The sequence below is a fragment of the Homo sapiens genome, chromosome 14, assembly GCF_000001405.40.
Source record: "Homo sapiens chromosome 14, GRCh38.p14 Primary Assembly".
NCBI lineage: Eukaryota > Metazoa > Chordata > Mammalia > Primates > Hominidae > Homo > Homo sapiens.
Genome location: NC_000014.9, coordinates 35152790 through 35173063, shown reverse-complemented (window position 1 = coordinate 35173063; position 20274 = coordinate 35152790). Strand labels below are relative to the sequence as shown.

Sequence of the window (20274 nt, the reverse complement as noted above, 5' to 3'; positions counted from 1 at the left end):
AAACCTCATCTCTACTAAAAATATAAAAATTATCCAGGCATGGTGGTGCATGCCTATAATCCCAGCTACTCAGGAGGCTAAGGCAAGAGAATTGCTTGATCTTGGGAAGTGAAGGTTGCAGTGAGCCAAGATCACGCCACTGCACTCCAGCCTGGGCAACAGAGAGAAACTCTATCTCCAAAAAAAAAAAATGAAACTGGCTGGGCGCAGTGGCTCACACCTGTAATCCCAGCACTTTGGGACGCCAAGGCAGGTGGATCACGAGGTCAAGAGATCAAGACCATCCTGGCCAACATGGTGACAGCTTGTCTCTACTAAAAATAAAAAAATTAGCTTAAAAATAAAAATTAGCTGGGCATGGTAGTGCATACCTGTAGTCTCAGCTACTCAGGAGGCTGAGGCAGAAGAATCGCTTGAACCCGGGAGGCGAAGGTTGCAGTGAGCTGAGATCATGCAACTGCACTCCAGCCTGGTGACAGAACGAGACTCTCAGAAAAGAAAGAAAGAAAGAAAGAGGAGAGGAGAGGACAGGAGAGAGAGGGAGAGAGGGAGAGAGGGAGAGAGGGAGAGAGGAAGGGAAAGAAAGGAAAGAGGGGAAAGAAAGAAAGAAGGAAGGAAGGAAGGAAGGAAGGAAGGAAGGAAGGAAGGAAAGAAAGAAACCAATCCAAAGTGTAGATGCCTGAGTTAGCAGACAAGAGCTATAAAGTAACTATTGCAAATATAATCAAGAATTCTGCCTGTAATCCCAGTACTTTGGGAGCCTGAGGCAGGTGCCTCACCTGAGGTCAGGAGTTCGACACCAGCCTGGCCAATAAAGTGAAACCCCGTCTCTACTAAAAATACAAAAATTAGCCGGATGTGGTGGTGGGCACCTGTAATCCCAGCTACTTGGGAGGCTGAGGCAGGAGAATCACTTGAACCTGGGAGGCGAAGGTTGCAGTGAGCCAAGATTATACCACTGTACTCCAGCTTGGGCAACAGAGTGAAACTCCATCTCAAAAAAAAAAAAAATTAGAAGTAAATATAGTCATAATTAATGCAAAGAAAGAAAATCTCCACAGAGACTGTAAACTAGAAAAATTAACAAAATGAACATTACAGAACCAAAAAGCACAAATGTGAAATAAAATATTCCTAGGGTGGATTTAACAGCAGATTGGAGATGGCAGAAGAAAGAGTCAGTGAACATGAAAGACAGAGCAACAAAAAATTATACAATTTAATGAAAGCAAAAAGATGAATTGGGTCTCAGTAACCTGTGGTACAATATCAAACAGATTAACATGTGTAATTACAGTCTAGAAGGAGAGGATAGAAAGGATAGAGTAATAAAAAGTATTTGAATAGCCAAAACATCCCCAAATTTGATGAAATACATAACTTACCCAAGAAGCAGAGCAAACTCAAAGCAGAATAAACACAAAGAAAACCATAAGTAAAACTATAACTAGGCACATCATAGTAAAACTGATGAAAATCAAAAATAGAAAAATCTTAAAAGCAGTCAGAAAAAAAGGATACATAACATAAAAAGGAATAATGATACAAATGACAGTTTAATTCTCATCAGACACAATGGGGCCAGAGAACATCTTTAAAAGGATAACAGACAACAAATAAAATAACAACAACAAAAAACTGCTTTCAATCCACAATTCTATATCTAGTAAAAATATCCTTCAAAAATTGCCAAAAACAATTAAGGTGAAATAAAGATATATTCAGGTAAATGAAAACAGATAATTCATCACCAGCAAGCCTGCAACATAAGGAATGCTAAAGCTGGCCAGTGCCATGGCTCATGCCTGTAATCCCAGCATTTTGAGAGGCCCAGGTAGGAGGATCACTTGAGGTCAGGAATTCAAGACCAGCCTGGGCAACACAGCAAGATACTGTCTCTACAAAAAAGAAAGAAGGCTAGGTGCAGTGGCTCATGCTTGTAATCCCAGCACTTTGGGAGGCCGAGGTGGGTGGATCACCTGAGGTCGGGAGTTCAAGACCAGCCTGACCAACATGGAGAAACCCCATCTCTACTAAAAATACAAAATTAGCTGGGTGTGGTGGCACACGCCTGTAATCCCAGCTACTCGGGAGTCTGAGGCAGAAGAATTGCTTGAACCGGGGAGGCAGAGGTTGCGGTGAGCCGAGATTGCGCCATTACACTCCAGCCTGGGCAACAAGAGTGAAACTCCGTCACAAAAAAAAAAGAAAAAAGAAAAAGAAAAGAAAGAAAGAAATGCTAAAGCAATTTCTTCAGGCTGAAGGGAAATAATATCAGATGAAAACCTAGACTTGGAAGAAATGAAAAAACACCAAAAATAAAATGGTAAAGATGTGGATATTTATAAAAAAGAATATACTTTTTATTCTTTCAATTTCTTTAAAAGACATGTGACTACTTAAAGCAAAAATTATCATAGCACTATATTATGGGGCTTAAAACACATGTAATATATGTTTTAAGCTACAATAAAACAATAGCACAAAGACCAGGAAGTGGTAAATGGAATTCTATTGCTATAATGTTCTTATATTTCATGTGAAATCGTTCAATATAAACTGTAAGTAAACTGAATTAAGTTAAGGATTCAGATTGTAAAGCCCAAATCATACATTTAAAAAATAATGTAGATCTGTAGGCCAGAGTTGATAAAATTTTTTAAAAGTTTAAAAAAAAGCAAAAAGGTATAGATAAAAGCCAATAGATGAATTATATGACAAATTAAAAGAAATTCAATTAACCCAAAAGGAGACATCAAAGGAGAAACAGAAGAACAAAAAGCAGATGGGATAAATAGAAGACAAATAGCAAAATAAAATGCTTAAATCCAACCTTATAAAAAATGCTATCTATAATAGATGTACTTATCTTTAATACAGAATAAGGGGAAAGTGAAAAGTAGGGAAAAATATGTATCATGCATCAATAAGCTTAAGAAACTTGGAATGGTGACACTAATGTTAGACAAAATAGACTTGAAGAAAAGGAATACTACAAAAAGAAGGGACATTTCATAATGATGACAGGATCAATACATCAAAGTCATATCATAAATAACAATAGAGCTTCAAGATGTGGATAAAGGAAAAGCTGACAGAACAAAGGAGGAACAGGTAACTCTACAATTACAGATGGAGATTTCAACACTCTTCTCTGCATAATTGATTGAACAAGTAGATAAAAATCAGTGAGGACTTCGAAGACAAATCTATATCTGTAGGACACTATGCCCAACAATAGCAGACTACGTATTCCTTTTCAAGTGCACATGGAACATCTACTAAGACAGACCACAAGTAGGCCATTGATATGGTTTGGCTTTGTGTCCCCACCCAAATCTCACCTTGAATTGTAATCCCCAGGTGTTGAAGGGAAGACCTGGTAAAAAGTGTTTAGATTATGGGGGTGGTTTCTTCCATGCTGTTCTCGTGATAGTGAGTGAATTCTCACCAGATCTGAAGGTTTTATAAACGGTAGTTTTTCCTGTGCTCTCACATACTCTCTTGCCTGCTGCCGTGTAAGACATGCCTGCTTCCCCTTCTGCCATCATTGTAAGTTTCCTAAGGCCTCCCCAGCCATGCAGAACCTTGAGTCAATTAAACCTCTTTTCTTTGTAAATTTACCCACGCTCAGGCAGTTCTTTATAGCAGTGTGAGAATAGACTAACCATAAAATAAGTTTCAATACATTTCAAAATACTGAGATCTTTATAGTTGCTGATACACACATACACACACATATACACACAGACACACACTTAAACAAAAAACCACTAGCAGTAAAATATCTATAAAAGCCCCAAGTATTCCTAAATACAGTTCTCAATAACCCAAGGGTCAAAAAAATTACAAAGGGAATTAGGAAATATTTTGAACTAAGTGATAATAAAAATTACATATCAAAATTCATGGGATGCAGTATACTAGTACTTAGCAGGAAATACATAGCTTTAAATACTTATATAAAAAAAAAAGAAAGAAAGGTCATAAAACATTGACCTAAGTTTTCAACTTAAAAAGGTAGAAAAAGAAGAGCAAATTAAATTTCAAAGAAAGTAGAATAATAATAAGCAGAAATCAAAGAAATAGGAAAAGCTAATAAGGCAAAAAGTTGAAAAAAAAATGAATGAACCTCAATCCCTATTTCACATCACACACACAAAATATTTCTAAATAGTTCATAAACTTAAAAGCCGAAACTATGAAAATTCTAGAAGAAAACAGGAAAATTATTAGCAACATTAGAATAGGCATAAATTTCTTGGGCAACATACAAAGTCATCACTAATAGTCACATACGGGGGTCCTTGATACAATGCCCTTGAAAAGGTTATAAGATAATTTCTGTAACATTCTTGCCAAAAATACCAACCTGAATCTTATCATAAGGAAATATCAGATAAACCCAAATTGACAGACATGTTACAAAATAATAGGCCTATGCTTTTTTATTATTTTTTTTTAAGTTGAGGTCTAAGAAAGACAAAGAAAACTGAGATTAAAAGAAACCAAAGAAACATGACAACTAAACCCAATGTGTGGTCATAGTTTGGATCTAGAGGAAGGAAAAGCTTGTTATGGACATTATTGGGACAAGTGACAAAACCTGAGTATCAACTAGCAATTAAATAATCTTATTATATCAATGTTACAAAGATGAAGAACTCCCTTTGGTCCAATAACTATTATAAAATACTCAACATCATTAGTCTTTAGGAAAACGCAAATTTAAAACCATAGCAAGAAATCATTATACACCCACTAGAATGGCCGAAATTAAAAAGACTGACCCATAACAAGTATGTGGAGCAACTGGAATTTCCAAACATTGCTGATGGGAATGCGGGATGGTACAACCACTTTGGAAAATAATTCAGCAGTTTCTTACAAAGTTAAACATATATTTATCATATAACTGAGCAGTCCCATTTATGAGTATTCACAGAAGAAGTAAGAAAATACACACCCACACAAAGACTTATATGTGAATGTTAACAGTGGCTTTATTCCTAATTGCCAAAAACCGAAAACAATTCAAGTGTCTATTAACTAATGAATGAATGGGGGAAAAATGTGTTAAAGCCAGTTGCTTTAATACTCCTTTTCTTCTAATCCTTAGAAAATATTATCTGGTGTCTGCAGCACATGGATATAGTTAACATGTGACGATCACTACTTTTTATGCAAAGTTTTGAGTATGCATTATTGTTTTCCACTTATTTCTTCTTATTTGCTAGAGTAGGACATTAAGTGAGAAAGGTCTTTGTGAATTCGGTATTAAAGCAACTGGCTTTAGTCATAGCAGATGTGGAAAAACAGGGGAATACCAGCTCTTTTGGTTGGAAGCAGTGCTCTTAACATGCGAACAAAAATAAAAAATCCATCTCTGTATCTAATTACTTCCTGTGCATTCTTTAAACCATGGAAGCCAAATAGATCCTAAATAAGAACATTAACATGACTGCCTTAATGTAGCTAGGGGAAAATGAAGCCACGTGGCTAAAAAGTATCATTGTAAGCTAACAACTAACATGGAGGCTAGAGAAATTTTAAACTGGCAACAGTACTGTAAACTAAAGAGAAGAGATGTTTGGGAGAGTTCTCCTAACCAAATGACCAATAGTAATCAATGGTAATTTATTGAGACAAACTATCTTATCGCATTTCTCCAGCTTTGGAGACAAAAAAGAGTAGAGGTGACTCAAAGTAAAGCAGAAAAAATACTTTAACTCAATTTTAAGAAAAAAGGCTGCAATAAACAGAAAAAACAGTGATGGTCTCCTTACCGCATGTCAAACATCTCTCAAGCAAGTTTACTTTACCACTCAATCCAGGTGGTCCGTTAGCTGTTTTCTTCTATCCTAATAAAATAATTAACCTTCAAGGCAGGAGAGTTAGGCAAATACAGCATCTTTGAACACTTTATCATCTAAAGAGAAGTGGTATAAGCAGGTAACGGGACTGAAAGTAAGATAAGACAAGCACATGACACCAAGGAATAATCTTTCATAAGCTGTTCAGAGAAGAATTATAAATGGCATCTGACTTGAGAAGCCAGAGAGGAAAAATGCCCCATCTTCATGCAGCTTACCAGATAAACTGGAGTAATATCCTGATGAGTCTAGATCCAAAAGGTGGAAACTGCCAGCATCCGAAGGGACAATGAAGGGGTAAGTACACTCTGCCCATCTACCTAATGGCATATGCTGAGCATTAATGGATCTCTTCTCTCAAGGATAATTCAATAGGGTGAAAAAGTCTATCACAGGCCAATGAAAGATACGTTAGGAGCTTTGCCTTAAAGATTCAGATAGGCCAGGCACAGTGGCTCACACCTGTAATCCCAGCACTTTGGGAGGCCGAGGAGGGCAGATCACAAGGTCAAGAGATCAAGACCATCCTGCTCAACATGGTGAAACCCTGTCTCTACTAAAAATACCAAAAAAATTAGCTGGGCGTGGTGGCACGCGCCTGTAGTCCCAGCTACTTGGGAGGCTGAGGCAGGAGAATCGCTTGAATCCAGGAGGCAGAGGTTGCAGTGAGCCTAGATTACACCACTGCACTCCAGCCTGGCGACAGAGCGAGACTCCATCTCAAAAAAAAAAAAAAAAAAAAGATTCAGATAAAAGCATGTTCTGAAACTCAAATACAATTTAGAAGACCTCTGCCTGGATCCCTCAAAGAAGAGGACAAATTCGGTTGCATCTATGAAGAAAGAGCAATAAGCTTTAAGGAGAGAATAGCAAGAGATGCAAAGAGATCCAAAAATAAAATAGAAATGAAAAAAAATGCAACAGCAGAATTTAAATATGCTTTGAAAGCAGTAAAGATTAGAACTAATATACTAGAACATGTATTTCATGAAATGCAGCACAAATTTTGAGAAATTCTACTTCAGTGCAGAAGAAAAGAAGAAAAAGAATGTTAAGAAAAAGAACATTATGGATATAAGGGACAGAGAACAGAGATCCAACTTTTAAGCCTCAGAAGGGTGTTCTCAAGGAATAAATCAAAACAAAAAGAAGAAGAATCTTTTTTTTAAAAAAAATATAACTTCCCCGAGATTAAAAAATACCTACTTTTTGGCCAGGTACACTGGCTCATGCCTGTAATCCCAGCACTTTGGGAGGCTGAGGTGGGTAGATCCATTGAGGCCAGGAGTTCAAGACCAGCCTGGCCAACATGGTGAAACCTTGTCTCTACAAAAAATACAAAAATTAGCTGGGCGTAGTGGCAGGTGCCTGTAATCCCAACTATTCAGGAGGCTGAGGCAGGAGAATTGCTTAAACCCAGGAGGCGAAGGTTGCAGTGAACCAAGATCATGCCACTGCACTCCAGCCTGGGCAACAGAGCAAGACTCTGTCTCCAAAAAAAAAACCTTACATTTTAAAGGGCACATGACATGAGACTCTGGGAAAAATGAAAAAAATCACCTAATCGTCTCCTCACAAAATGTTTAATTGTGAGATTAAAGAAAAAAATCCTACACACTTCCAAGTCAAATAAATAATATCATAAACTTACATAGTGCTTTCCATGTGCCATGTAGATCACAATGCTATTAAGAAACAAAAATTCTAAGTGCTTTACATATACTTTCTTATTGCTGTAACAATGGTATGAGGTAGATATTATCATTTTTCCCACTTAACAGATTAGGAGAATAAAGCATAGAAAAGTTAAGCAGATCACCTAACTAGTAAATGGTGAACTTGGGGTTCAAAACCCAGAAGTTCATTCTCTTGTACTATCCCTCAGAGCAACAGAAATCAAGCTGGACCCCAGCTACTCAGGAGGCTGAGGCAGGAAGATTGCCAGAGCCCAGGAGTTCCAGGTCAGCCTGGGCAACGTAGTAAGACCCCATCTCAAAACTAAGAAATTCAAGCTAGAAATCCCAAAAGCCAGAAGACATCAAAACAACTATGTTTAAGGATCATGGAGTAGTTTACACACGGGGCCTAAACCTCTTGGCACATGCACTATAATAGTTATTTCCTTCTTCCTATACGGTACATTTTAATAGTGTGGCCTGTATTCTTAAGCAAGGCGTGCCAATCAAGACTGCTGCCCTTCCCTGCAAGGTACCTGCAAACAATGGGAGAGAAACTTTGCAAACGTCCTTCATGAGTTTTTTTTGGCTGGGAAATCCTACTTTCTTTGATGTGGTCTCCCTATTTTATTTAAGGAGATACATCACTCCCACTCCCCTACTCCCTCCCCAAAAGAGACTAATAAGGACTAATGGAATTTCACCTGGATATGTCTAATGAAGGATTTTTCTTTTTTCCTTATTTTTATTTATTTCAGTATTTCAACTTTTATTTCAGATACAGCAGATCCATGTAGAGGTTCGTTACATGGGTATACTGTACCCAGGTAGTGAACACAGTACCCAGTAGGTAGCTTTTCAACCCATACCCCACCCCCTCTAGCAGTCTGCAGTGTCTGTTGTTCCCATGTTTATGTCCATGTATGCTCAATGTTTAGCTCCCATTTATAAGTAAGAACTTGCAGTATCTGCTTTTCTCTTACTGAATTAATTTGCTTAGGATTATGGCGTCCGGCTCCATCCATGTTGCTGTGAAGGACATGACTTTGTTCTTTTTTATGGTTGCATAGCATTCCATGGTGTATAGTACCACATTTTCTTTATCCAGTCCACCACTGATTGGCACTAGGTTGATTCCACGTCTTTGCTATTGTGAGTAGCGCAGCAATGCACATATGAGTGGATGTGTCTTTTTGGTATAATGATCCATTTCCCTTTGGGTATACACCCAGCAGTGGATTCCTGAGTTAAATGGTTGCTCTGTTTTAAGTTATTTGAGAAATCTCCAAGCTGCTTTCCACAGTGGCTGAACTAATTTACATCCCATCAACAGTGTATAAGCATTCCCTTTTCTCTGCAGCCTCATACTGGTACAAAAACAGATATAGAGACCAATGGAACAGAATGGAAAACTCAGAAATAAAGCTGCACACTCACATACAACTGATTTTCGACAAGGCCAACAAAAACAAGCAATGGGGAAAGGAATTCCTATTCAATAAATGGTGCTCAGATAACTGGCTAGTTATATGTAGCAAAATGAAACTGGACCCTTACCTTTCACCACATATCAAAATTAACTCAAGATGGATTAAAGATTTAAATGTATACCCTCAAACTATAAAAATCCTAGAAGAAAACCTAGGAAATACCCTTCTTGACATCAGCCTTGGCAAAGAATTTTTGGTTAAGTCCCCAAGAGCAATTGCAACAAAAACAAAAATTGACAAGTGGGACCTAATTAATTAACTAATTAAACTAAAGAGCCTCTGTATAGCAAAAGAAACTATTAAAGTAAACAGACAACTTACGGAATAGGAGAAAATATTTACAAACTGCATCCAACAATGGTCTAATATCCAGAATCTACAAGGAACTTAATTCAACAAGCAAAAAACAAATAACCCCATTAAAAAACAGGCAAAAGACATGAACAGACACTTCTCAAAAGAAGGCATACAAGTGGCTAATAAACATATGAAAAAATGCTCAATATCACTAATCATCAGAGAAATGCAGATTAAAAGCACAATAAGATGCCATCTCAAACCAGTTAGAATGGCTATGATTACAACATCAAATAATAAGGTGTTTTTTTAACTGCAGGTCACAACACCTTACTAGGTCATGAGATCAATTTAATACAGTTGCAACCAGCATTTCAGGGAGAAATAAACAGAACTAAAATAGAGTGCAACAAATACAGCAAGAGTACATAATTTTTTTATGTATACATTTTTTTTCATTTATAAATGTATTATTACATAAAATGTATATTGTATCTGTGTTGTGTTAAAAAACGCTTAAAAGCCACGGGTAATAGGACTCTGTCACATATATAAAACATGATTTTGCCCCAGGGAGCATTATTAATACATTTTATCAGAGGCCTATAATATTTACCTCTGGTAAGTTTATTAAAGAAAGTGCCAGAACCCAAGTTATAAAAATTAGCTCTAATAGATATTAGATATATCATAAAACTACAATAATCAAAATAGTGTCATACTGTTAGGAATGCAGATTAGTGAATCAGAACAGAAAGTCCAAAAAGAGACCTAAATATTTATATGAAGAATTTGGTATATGCTAAAAGTAACATCCCGCTTTATCCCTAGTGGGGTAAAATATGGGTTGTTAAATGATGTTGACACAATTGGCTAATTAGCTGGGGAGGAAATTAAGTTGGAACTATACCTCACATCAGAAAAAAATTCCAAATGGATGAAAAATTTAGAGAAAAACAACAAAAGTGAAGGGAGCAAAAGGAAGTTTTTTGTGTTTGTTGGCTTTTCAATAACCTTGCAACAGAAAAAATCTTTCTAAATATGAAACCCAGGAGCCATAAAAGGAAAGTCTGACAAATTCGAATATTTTAAAGTATACATAGAGAAAAAAAATAAGCCTCAAAAATTGTAATTTAAATCACAGATGATTTTTCAAATAAAGAGCTCCTAAAATTAATATGAAAACAGTCAATAACTCAAAAAACAGACAAGACAGGAGCAGTTTGCAGAAAATAAATATAAGTGCCTCTTAAACCTATGAAAATATGCTCCACCACACTCCAAGAAAATTGTAAATTAATCCTATACTGCAATTTTATTTTTTTACTTCATATAGGCAAAGATCAAAATGTTTGATAACACACTGAATCTTCAAGGTGCGGAGAAAGAATTCTCATATTTTGCTGATCACAGTATATACTGTTAAAATTTCCATGAAGGCCAATCAAAATTAATATGTCTCCATTGTGCTAGCAATTCAATTTGTGGGAATCTATCTTATATCTATCTTGGAATATGTGAGAAATTACAAATGTGTAAGATGATTCACTGTGACACTTTTGTAATAGTGAAAGATTTGAAACAAGTTAAATACTCGTTAATAGGAGACTCAATGAATAATTAAATTATGGTCATTCCATACAGCTAGAAAGAAGAAAAAAGAGAAGGGGAAGAGGAGAGAGAGGAAGGAGAAAGAAGATAACCTATTTTTCAATCTAGAAATATAAAATGATAGCCCACTATCAACTAGATGAAGGACTGAAAAAGTTTCCCTAAAAAATTCTCAATCATCTAGAATCATGAGCTAAAGATGCATGCTCCCTAGCAGTTAGGTATCATTTCCAAGTATTAATACATTATCCTGTAAATTCCAGATAGAAAAGAATTTACTTACAAGTTTAAAGTTATTTCTTAAATCTTGACTGATCTTTGGAGAAATAGATCTAACTCAGGTAAAGATAGTTTAGAAATTAAATTTCTAGACAGAATCAGCTATATTATTTTTAATCCCACTCTTCTTCCTTTTCATATCATATTCTTACAGATTTATGGAGAATAGCTCAAAGAAAGGGCAAAAGGCAATATATTTTTAATTATAAAATCTTGCTCCCAAATTAGAAAGAAACAAATCAGGCCAAAAAATAAAAAAGGCAGTAACACAGCCTGAGTCCTGCAAACCCCAAAATGCTGTTAACTACTTTAAAAAAAGAAAAAATTCTGCTTTCATTCAAGGAGTTTGTCCATGCTTACACACCCTGGAAATCCCCTCTGCTTCACACCTAACCCAGAATCTGCTCTAAAGTGCCAACACAGTGTCTAACTTCCCTTCGTCCTTGGAAGGAAATGTGTAGAAAATTTAAGCCCCTTCACCGATCAAATCGCTTCACTTCTCTGGGCCTTACGTTCCTCAGGAATAAAGTGGGGTTATTAACACATACTTCGAAGGGCTATTGTAAGGACTCAAGAAAATTAAATGATTTGACTGTAAAAAGTCTATACTATAAAAGCCCCTGTATGTGCTTTAGGTAAATAATAATACCACAAGTTTTACCAATAGTTTGTCAACATTTATAACTCTTTGGGTTTTAACACTGGATACCAGGAAAGTAACTTTGCCTGCTTCCTGTTCCTGACTGAGAAATGGGCTCCGGTCTTCACATGGCAGTAGAGTAGATGAATCCCTGAAAGGACCCATAACCTAACTGCTTCCACATGTATAAGAAAAATATGTCTACATTTCAGTTGTTTCCAGGTATTCTGATTCAGGGGCCAAAAAGACCATTTAGCTTGTCGCCTTCAAAGGGCACTAGACTGAGGTAAGATCGATCCCTTTGTAGTATGCATGTATGCATGGTTCATAAATCATGTTTTTTGGCTGAGGATTGCCTGTAGTGCATCCTTAAGGATTACTTTATGCTTTACAATGTGCATATGTCTTCTGATCTATCCTCAAAACAAACTTGTGAGAAAACAGATGCAGACAGAAAGACCAAATTAATGACAACAAAAAAATACAGAATCTTTATTTCTAATTCCCAGTTTACTAATGACTTCATTGAGTTGAATGAGCTGTTTCCTTTCTTTATAAAGCAGAAACAATTTATCAGTCACTTGCAGAAGCCATCAAGTTTTCAATGTTCCCACAGAAATGAAGCAGAATTTACTACCATCTATACTCAATTCTATTGCTAATTTTTTAAAAAAAGAAAATAGTTTGGGCAATTTTTGTCCTCTTTTAGTGAAAAAAATCGGAAGCAGAGAAGAGAATGAAAAAGGAAAAATTTAAATTCCTGAAATTTCTAGTGCATAAATTCAACAGTAAATCTGACTAATGTTAAATATGTAGACAGTAAATCTTTGTGCACTGCAGTAGTAACAGAGTAGCCTGTGAAAGTTATCCAAGTGGAAAGCAGAAAGGAAATGGGAAGTGATTTTACTCTGAAAGAAAACCAAAAGGTGAAAGAGTCCAACAGTAAATAGGACAGGCAGGAATACTCAGGTAGAAATCTTGGGGATATCCCAGGAACATTCATCAGCTCAAATGACGTGTCTTGTACATCTCATCAGTGGTTTTCCCTCCGCTGTCTAACTTATACAAATATCTGAGTAACTCAAGAGCAACGTACAACTGGAAGATGAGTCATTCCACCAGTAATCAACGAGATTAAGGGAAATTCTATTTTCCTGTGAACTTTGGCACAGTTTGAATCTGTTTCATTATTCCTGCTAGGAATCACTACGAATCCAGGTTTGCACACCTTTTCTTCTGCCATTATCAAGCAAATAATAGTAAGCTAAGTGTTAGGTAATTTCCCATCCTCAGAAAACATACACCAGTCTCATAAGGAGGCAGAATTACCAGTATGGTTAAACAGCAAGTGTTACTGAGTCCAAAGATGTGGGTCTGAATCCTGACTTCATCACTTAACCTGTGTGGTTTCAGCAAGTTACCGAACTTTTCTGAGCCTCAGTTTCCTCATTTGTCAAGGAGAGAAAATACTCATTCCCTCAAAGTTATTGTAAAGATTAACTGAAATGGTAGCTATGACATAATAAATGTAAGCACTGGATTATTTAATGTATAAATAACTGTATTTATTACACACCTACTGGATGCCAAGCATTGTGGAAAATAGGAAAAAGGGTGTCCTGTCCCTCAGAGTTTCTAATCTGGTTGAAATAACAATAGATACTGATATGAAAAACTAAACAACACTAAAAAAAGAACACATAGTATAGGATCAATAGCCAGATGTGTGCCAGGGTTAATAAATGCTACAAGTTCAAAGGAAGAAAAGATAAATGCAGACTACAGGGGTCAAAAAAGGTTGTGTGACAGAAAAGGGACTGAGATAGTCACGAAGGAAAAACAGGATTTGGAGGTAGAAGTATATTTTAGATGAGGGGAAAAAGAAGAGGAAGAAAACACAAAGCAGTCTAGAGCCACTAATTAGCTGGCACTGGCTGACGCACGTGTCTGTAGAGGAGAGTGGCAAGCAATGAGGCCTGAAAAGTAGGCTGCGACCAAACTGGAGGAATTACTTGCAGGGCAGGAATGGGAAACTGCTGAAGGTTTTGAGGCAGGGGAGTAATAGGATTACATCAGTGTTTTGAAAAGAATGACCTGGAGTGCGAGATCCACTGCTGATTAGGAGAGGAGCGTCAACAGCAGCACCGTGGTTCTTCTGTGGATTTCTTCTGTTGGAATCTGGACGACTGGAATGATGGAAATGTGTGGGATTTGCCAATCTCCCAAATCAAGTATCCAGAGAATCAGTGAAGAGAACGTTTGAATTCACACTTACGGTGGTGGGAAATCCAGGAAAGACAACATTAATCAACTCATGATTCCTCATAGATTTGCATTCTCCAGAATATCCAAGTCTTTCTCATAGAATTATTACTAAAAAGACTGTACAGGAGGAACAATCCAAAGTTTTAATCAAGGAAGGTAGTGTTAAGTTGCTGCTCACAATAGTTGATACCAAATAGGATTTGGAGATGCAGTAGATAATAGTAATTGCTGGCAGCTCGTCATCAACTACATTGATAGTAAATCTGTGGACTACCTAAATGCAGAATCACAAGTGAACAGATTTCAGATGCCTGATAACAGGGTGCCGGGTTTATACTTCACTGCTCCTTCAGGACATGGAATTAAACCAGATAATAACTTTAAAACAGATAATGAAAGAAATCTAAGAACTTAAAATATATAAATTTCCAGAAACAGGTGAAGAAGACAACAAGCTTGTTAAAAAGAAGAAGGACCATTTACCTCTTGCTTAGGTAGGTAGTAATACTATATCATTGAACTTAATGGCAAAAGGGTTAGGGGAAGGCAGTATCCTTGGGGTGTTGGTAAAGTTGAAAATGGTGAACATTGTTTTTACAATTCTAAGAAATATGTTGATAACACATATGCACGATTTGAAAGATGTTACTAAATGCCCACTATGAAAGGAGAAAACTGGCAGTTGTGACTTATAATGGAGTTGATAACAAATAAGGGCTTACTAAGAGCCTTCTGGCACAAATGGAAGAAGAAAGAAGGGAGCATGTAGCTAAAATGAAGAAGACGGAGCTGGAAATGGAGCAGGTGTTTGAAATGAAGGTAAAAAAAAAAAGTTCAAAAACTGAAGGACTCTGAAGTTGAGCTCCAATGGCAGTGCCATGAGCAAATGAAAAAGAAGCATAACACAAAGAATTAGAGAAGAAACAACATCAGTTTGAGGATGAGGATGCAAACTGGGAAGCTCAACAACATATTTCAGAACAAAACTCTTTGAGAACCTTCAAAAAGAAAAAGAATAAAGAGATCTTTTAAACTATTGATCAATAGTTACGTATTATTAATAGTTACGAATATCCCAACTTGGACATCAGTGTTTGTTGGATCCATTTGACCAATTTGCACCAGTTTTATCCATAGTGATAGATTTAACAGCATGACAAAAATTATTTTGTTGTTGTTCTTAATGGAGATTAAGATGCCTTGAATTGTTTAGGGTGTTGTGTACTTATTAATAGAAAGTAACAGGCCAGGCACCGTGGCTCACACTGTAATCCCAGCACTTTGGGAGGCCAAGGCAGGCAGATCACTTGAGGTCAGGAGTTCGAGACCAGCCTGGCCAACATGCTGAAACCCTCTCTCTACTAAAAATACAAAAATTAGCTGGGTGTGGCAGCGGGTGCCTGGGTTTTAAACACAAGTTTAGCTTCACTGATCACATAGTTTACAGGAACAATGAATGCTGTGGTTTGGATCTGATCATCCAGCTCTGCTAATCTGGTACTTAATAATCAGTTCTTGTTTACTAATAGTCATCTGACGTTTCTCTGATTGTAAGTGGAGAAGCCTTGTACCATCAACACAATGGTGAATGACTTGGGAAGAAACCACATCCAAAAATATCCACAGGTCTGGCCCATGTTTAGGATAGGCTCCTAAGTATATTTTGAAAAAAATGAACGTCCGGGCGCGGTGGCTCACGCCTGTAATCCCAGCACTTTGAGAGGCCGAGGCGGGAGGATCACGAGGTCAGGAGATTGAGACTATCCTGGCTAACATAGTGAAACCCCATCTCTACTAAAAATAAAAAAAATTAGCTGGGCGTGGTGGCGGGCGCCTGTAGTCCCAGCTATTTGGTAGGCTGAGGCAGGAGAATGGCGTGAACCCAGGAGACGGAGCTTGCAGTGAGCCGAGATGGAGCCACTGCACTCCCGCCTGGGCGACAGAGCAAGATTCCGTCTCAAAAAAAAAAAAAAGAAAAGAAAAAAGAAAAAAATGAACTACCATTATTAGGGCAAGAAATATTGACAACGACTACAAAAAAAGGTATTAATTTATGATAGGAACTTTCACCTAAGTCTAATGATTCCTAAGCATCTACTCTGCGAATAAGTTCTTTTCATTTCCCACTGACATTGTATCTGGGGACACTGTACCTTGATATGGCCTTATCATATTTTCTTGAAAAACACCCTCTGCCTATTTTTCTCATTTTGGAGAATTTTACAGGTTAAATAATCAAGATAAGCATTTATACTGCATGAATCTGCAAAGGAACTACAGTATTTTTATTGATATGACAGAATGCACTTTTGCCATTAGTGGTTTTTCAGTCAGCTTGCAAAGAATCACACTGTTAAAGCAGTGATCAGCCTAGAGAGAAGCCTGCTTTTGAGACAACCTGAGTTATCTGCTAATTCAAAACATCTGAACAAAAATATTCCTGGCACAAATGCAGTGAACTCATTACAAAAACAAAAACAAAAACAAAAATAAAACACCTATGTTTAAATTAGCCCTGTAGGTAGCTCAATCCATATGCATTCCACCCTTCCAATTTTAAGTCTCTGAAAGAAAAGCCAGCACTCTTTTAAACACAGGAAATCACATTTTACTTCTCTGCAGCTGCTTCATAACCAAGGAAAATGCAAAAGCAAAGAGGAAATGTGCCGGAGATCTTATTAACAAAGAGTGGAAATCCCCACACTCCACATCTCCCAGTTAGCACTGTTGGGGACATAGGCTCTCAGGTTCATATTTCCCTTTGTGAAATGCCTAACCACACCAGAATTAATCTGCAGTTGCCACCTATGATAAAAGCAGGGGTTGTGCACACTGGAGTATTCCACATTGCCTCTTCAGCTATAGCTTTTACCACACAATGGATTAACTTGTACAGGATTTTTTCAAACTCCTCCCCTAACCCAGAAAAAAAATGTTAATAACCTCTTTGCAAAGCAAAAACAATGCAGTACAGTAGGAAACCTTTATAGAATTGACTCTGAATCTAAATTAGTTGTTCTACTCTATTAAGAAATTTTATCTTGTGCGTTTCAAAAATGGAAAAAGAAACGTGCAAATGACATGACAATTTTCAGCATTTAAAAAGTATAATTTGCTTTAAGAAGGGGACTTTCATTCTCTATAGTGGTATTTCTGAACTGTTTATATCCTTTCTAATGAATATATACTATTTATATTATAATGAATATATAATATGTTTACTTGAGGAAATCTTTACTATAGGAAGATTAGGAAGATGTTGCTTCTGCATGAAAATCACTAAGAAAGCACTGTTTTATAATCTCCCTTTTCATAACTTCTATCCTGAAAGCATATGTGTATTTGTCAGCTTTTTTTTTTTTTTTTTTTTTTAAATAGACACCAGGTCTCGCTATGTTGCCCAGGCTTGTCTTAAACTCCTGGGCTCAAGCAATCCTCCCACCTCAGCTTCCCGAAGTGCTGGGATTACAGTTGTGAGCCACCACAGCTGGCCCTTTGTTAGCTTATAAAAAAAGATTTTCAAGATGAAAATCTTAAACATATATAAAAGTAGACAGAATAGTATAATAAATCCCCATGAACCCATAAACTAGCTTTATCATCTCATGACCAATCTTGTTTCATATATAACTCCATCTATTCCATCCCCTATTTCCCAGTTATTTTTGAAGCATATCTCAGACATCACATCATTTAATCCATAAATATTTCAGTGTTTAGCTCTGAATCTAAAGAGTTTGGGTCAGGCATGGTGGCTCACGCCTGTAATCCCAGCACTTTGGGAGGCCAAAATGGGAAATCACTTGAGCCCACGAGTTCGAGACCAGCCTGGGCAACATGGTGAAACCCCCTCTCTACAAAAAGTACAAAACTTAGCTGATGTGGTGGCAGGCACCTGTAGTCCTAGCTACTCAGGAGGCTGAGGTGGGATGATCACCTGAGCCCGGGAGGTTGAGGCTGTGGTGAGCTGTGATTGTGCCACTGCACTCCAGCCTGGGTAACAGATTGAGACCCTGCCTCAAAAAAAAAAGAGTTTTAACTCACTAGCATTATTAACCCTAAATAAAAATCAACAAAAATGTCTTAATAACTCCAATAACTGGTGTTCAGATTCCTCTGATTGTTCAAATCAGGAACTAAGGGCCCAATATGATCCATACACTGCAAATGGTTGCTTTATCTCAAATTGCTTTTATCTATAGATCATTGCTCCATCTCTTTTTTTTTTTTTTGGCAATTCATTTATTGGAAGAAACTGGGTTGTCTTGCAGTTTCCCACAGATGGTATTTGGTAATTGTACCCTTGAGGTGTAATTTAACATATTCCTCTGCCCCCTGTATTTCCAGTAAATTAGTAGTGAGCTCTAGATGCTTGATCAGATTCATGCATCTAGATTCAGGTTTGATATTTTCACATACCAAATCCTTAACTCTCCTATTTACTATTTCTTAAAATCTTGAAGAACCACGAGCCAAATTTCAACCTATAGCTAAAAAGTAGTGCTGGTTAATAAGGAGGTGTCATGTGCTCTGCTCAAGACATAACAACTTGGAATTTCTCCCTTTAGATATTAAGGAAAGGAGAAAGGTAGACTAAAGAGCTTCACATCATCAAAACCTCAACAACGATTTGATGCTGCCTTCCTTCCCTCCCAAACTGACACTGTGCTACATACAGACTCTGCACTTTTAATTCACCTAAATCACAACTTCCTGTTCTACTGTGCACTGTCTTTGGGGCTCCACTCTCATCTCTGTTCCCACTAGGAAAAGCTGACCTTATCTAACTTTTCTTAACACATAACTATGTGTTATGTGTTAGTTAGAAAGCCTTAACATTGCAGAGCTGGAGTGGGCTTTGGAGATCATCTGGTCCAACTGTCTCTGTTTAAAGACCAGGAAAAAGAACGAAAGTGCTGAAGTAACTTTTCCAAGGTTATTATAAAGATATATGTTAAGTTAGTTAATATTTATAAAGTACTCATAACAGTGACTAGCTTATAATAACCCTTATATAAACATTTGCTTTTTAAAAAGCAAGTTAAAATTAGTTAAGAAACAGAATTAGTACTTGAGTGAGGACCTCTTAAATTTCTCTAAGAACACAAATAATACTCCCTTCTACTTTGCAGTTTGGGGGAATAATGCACTCTACATATACCAAAATGTTCCAGATAACTGAGGCATGTTCCTTTAAACAACCAATTTTATTTCGTTTTAATCTTTTAAAGTCAAGATAATCCAAGATGGAAACTGTTGTCAGAAATATAGTATACAGTTTCCTTCATCAAATGAAGAACACTGAACACTATCTTATTAAACTTCTCAGTGACCCTTTCATTATGAACACAGGGAAGCTTAATGAATAGAACTCATATTTGGGAATCAGACAGATGTGCATTCAAATCTTAATTCTGTTACTTACAAACCTTGCTTGGCAAGTCACTTAACCTCTCTGAGGTTTAGCAAAAAAGGGGAGGCTGCCTTCCTTGTAGGATTGTCACAAAAATTAGAGATCCCTCTCTCCCCACGGTCTCCCTCTCCCTCTCTTTCCACCGTCTCCCTCTGATGCGGAGCTGAAGCTGGACTGTACTGCTGCCATCTCGGCTCACTGCAACCTCCCTGCCTGATTCTCCTGCCTTAGCCTCCCAAGTGCCTACAATTGCAGGCGCGCACCGCCACGCCTGACTGGTTTTTGTATTTTTTTGGTGGAGACGGGGTTTCGCTGTGTTGGCCGGGCTGGTCTCCAACTCCTAACCGCGAGTGATCCGCCAGCCTCGGCCTCCCGAGGTGCCGGGATTGAGACGGAGTCTCGCTCACTCAGTGCTCAATGTTGCCCAGGCTGGAGTGCAGTGGCGTGATCTCGGCTAGCTACAACCTCCACCTCCCAGCCGCCTGCCTTGGCCTCCCAAAGTGCCGAGATTACAGCCTCTGCCCGGCCGCCACCCCGTCTGGGAAGTGAGGAGCGTCTCTGCCTGGCCGCCCATCGTCTGGGATGCGAGGAGCCCCTCTGCCCGGCTGCCCAGTCTGGGAAGTGAGGAGCGCCTCTTCCCAGCCGCCATCCCGTCTAGGAAATGAGGATAGTCTCTGTCCGGCCGCCCACCGTCTGAGATGTGGGGAGCGCCTCTGCTCCGCCTCCCCGT

General features: G+C 37.8%; 1 protein-coding gene, 1 long non-coding RNA gene and 1 pseudogene across 10 annotated transcripts in view, besides 2 other annotated features; 1 reads left to right on the top strand and 2 right to left on the bottom strand.

Annotated features, from left to right (window-relative positions):
* Positions 1 to 20274, bottom strand: part of PRORP-PSMA6 (PRORP-PSMA6 readthrough) — a 195633-nt gene that overhangs the window by 144408 nt on the left and 30951 nt on the right. The window lies entirely within an intron of this gene.
* Positions 1 to 20274, bottom strand: part of PRORP (protein only RNase P catalytic subunit) — a 155784-nt gene that overhangs the window by 104559 nt on the left and 30951 nt on the right. The window lies entirely within an intron of this gene.
* Positions 12827 to 13121: an enhancer, noted in NCBI's record as "tiled region #10139; HepG2 Activating DNase matched - State 5:Enh, and K562 Activating DNase unmatched - State 6:EnhF". NCBI's record gives its function as "activates a minimal TATA promoter and a strong SV40 promoter by Sharpr-MPRA in HepG2 and K562 cells {active_cell/tissue: HepG2 | K562}" and the evidence as "EXISTENCE:reporter gene assay evidence [ECO:0000049][PMID:27701403]".
* SEPTIN7P1 (septin 7 pseudogene 1) lies at positions 13965 to 15376 on the top strand (annotated as a pseudogene).
* Positions 19678 to 20179: an enhancer, noted in NCBI's record as "H3K27ac hESC enhancer chr14:35622091-35622592 (GRCh37/hg19 assembly coordinates)". NCBI's record gives its function as "activates a minimal SCP1, AML or CMV promoter by ChIP-STARR-seq in primed H9 embryonic stem cells {active_cell/tissue: H9 hESC(primed)}" and the evidence as "EXISTENCE:reporter gene assay evidence [ECO:0000049][PMID:30033119]".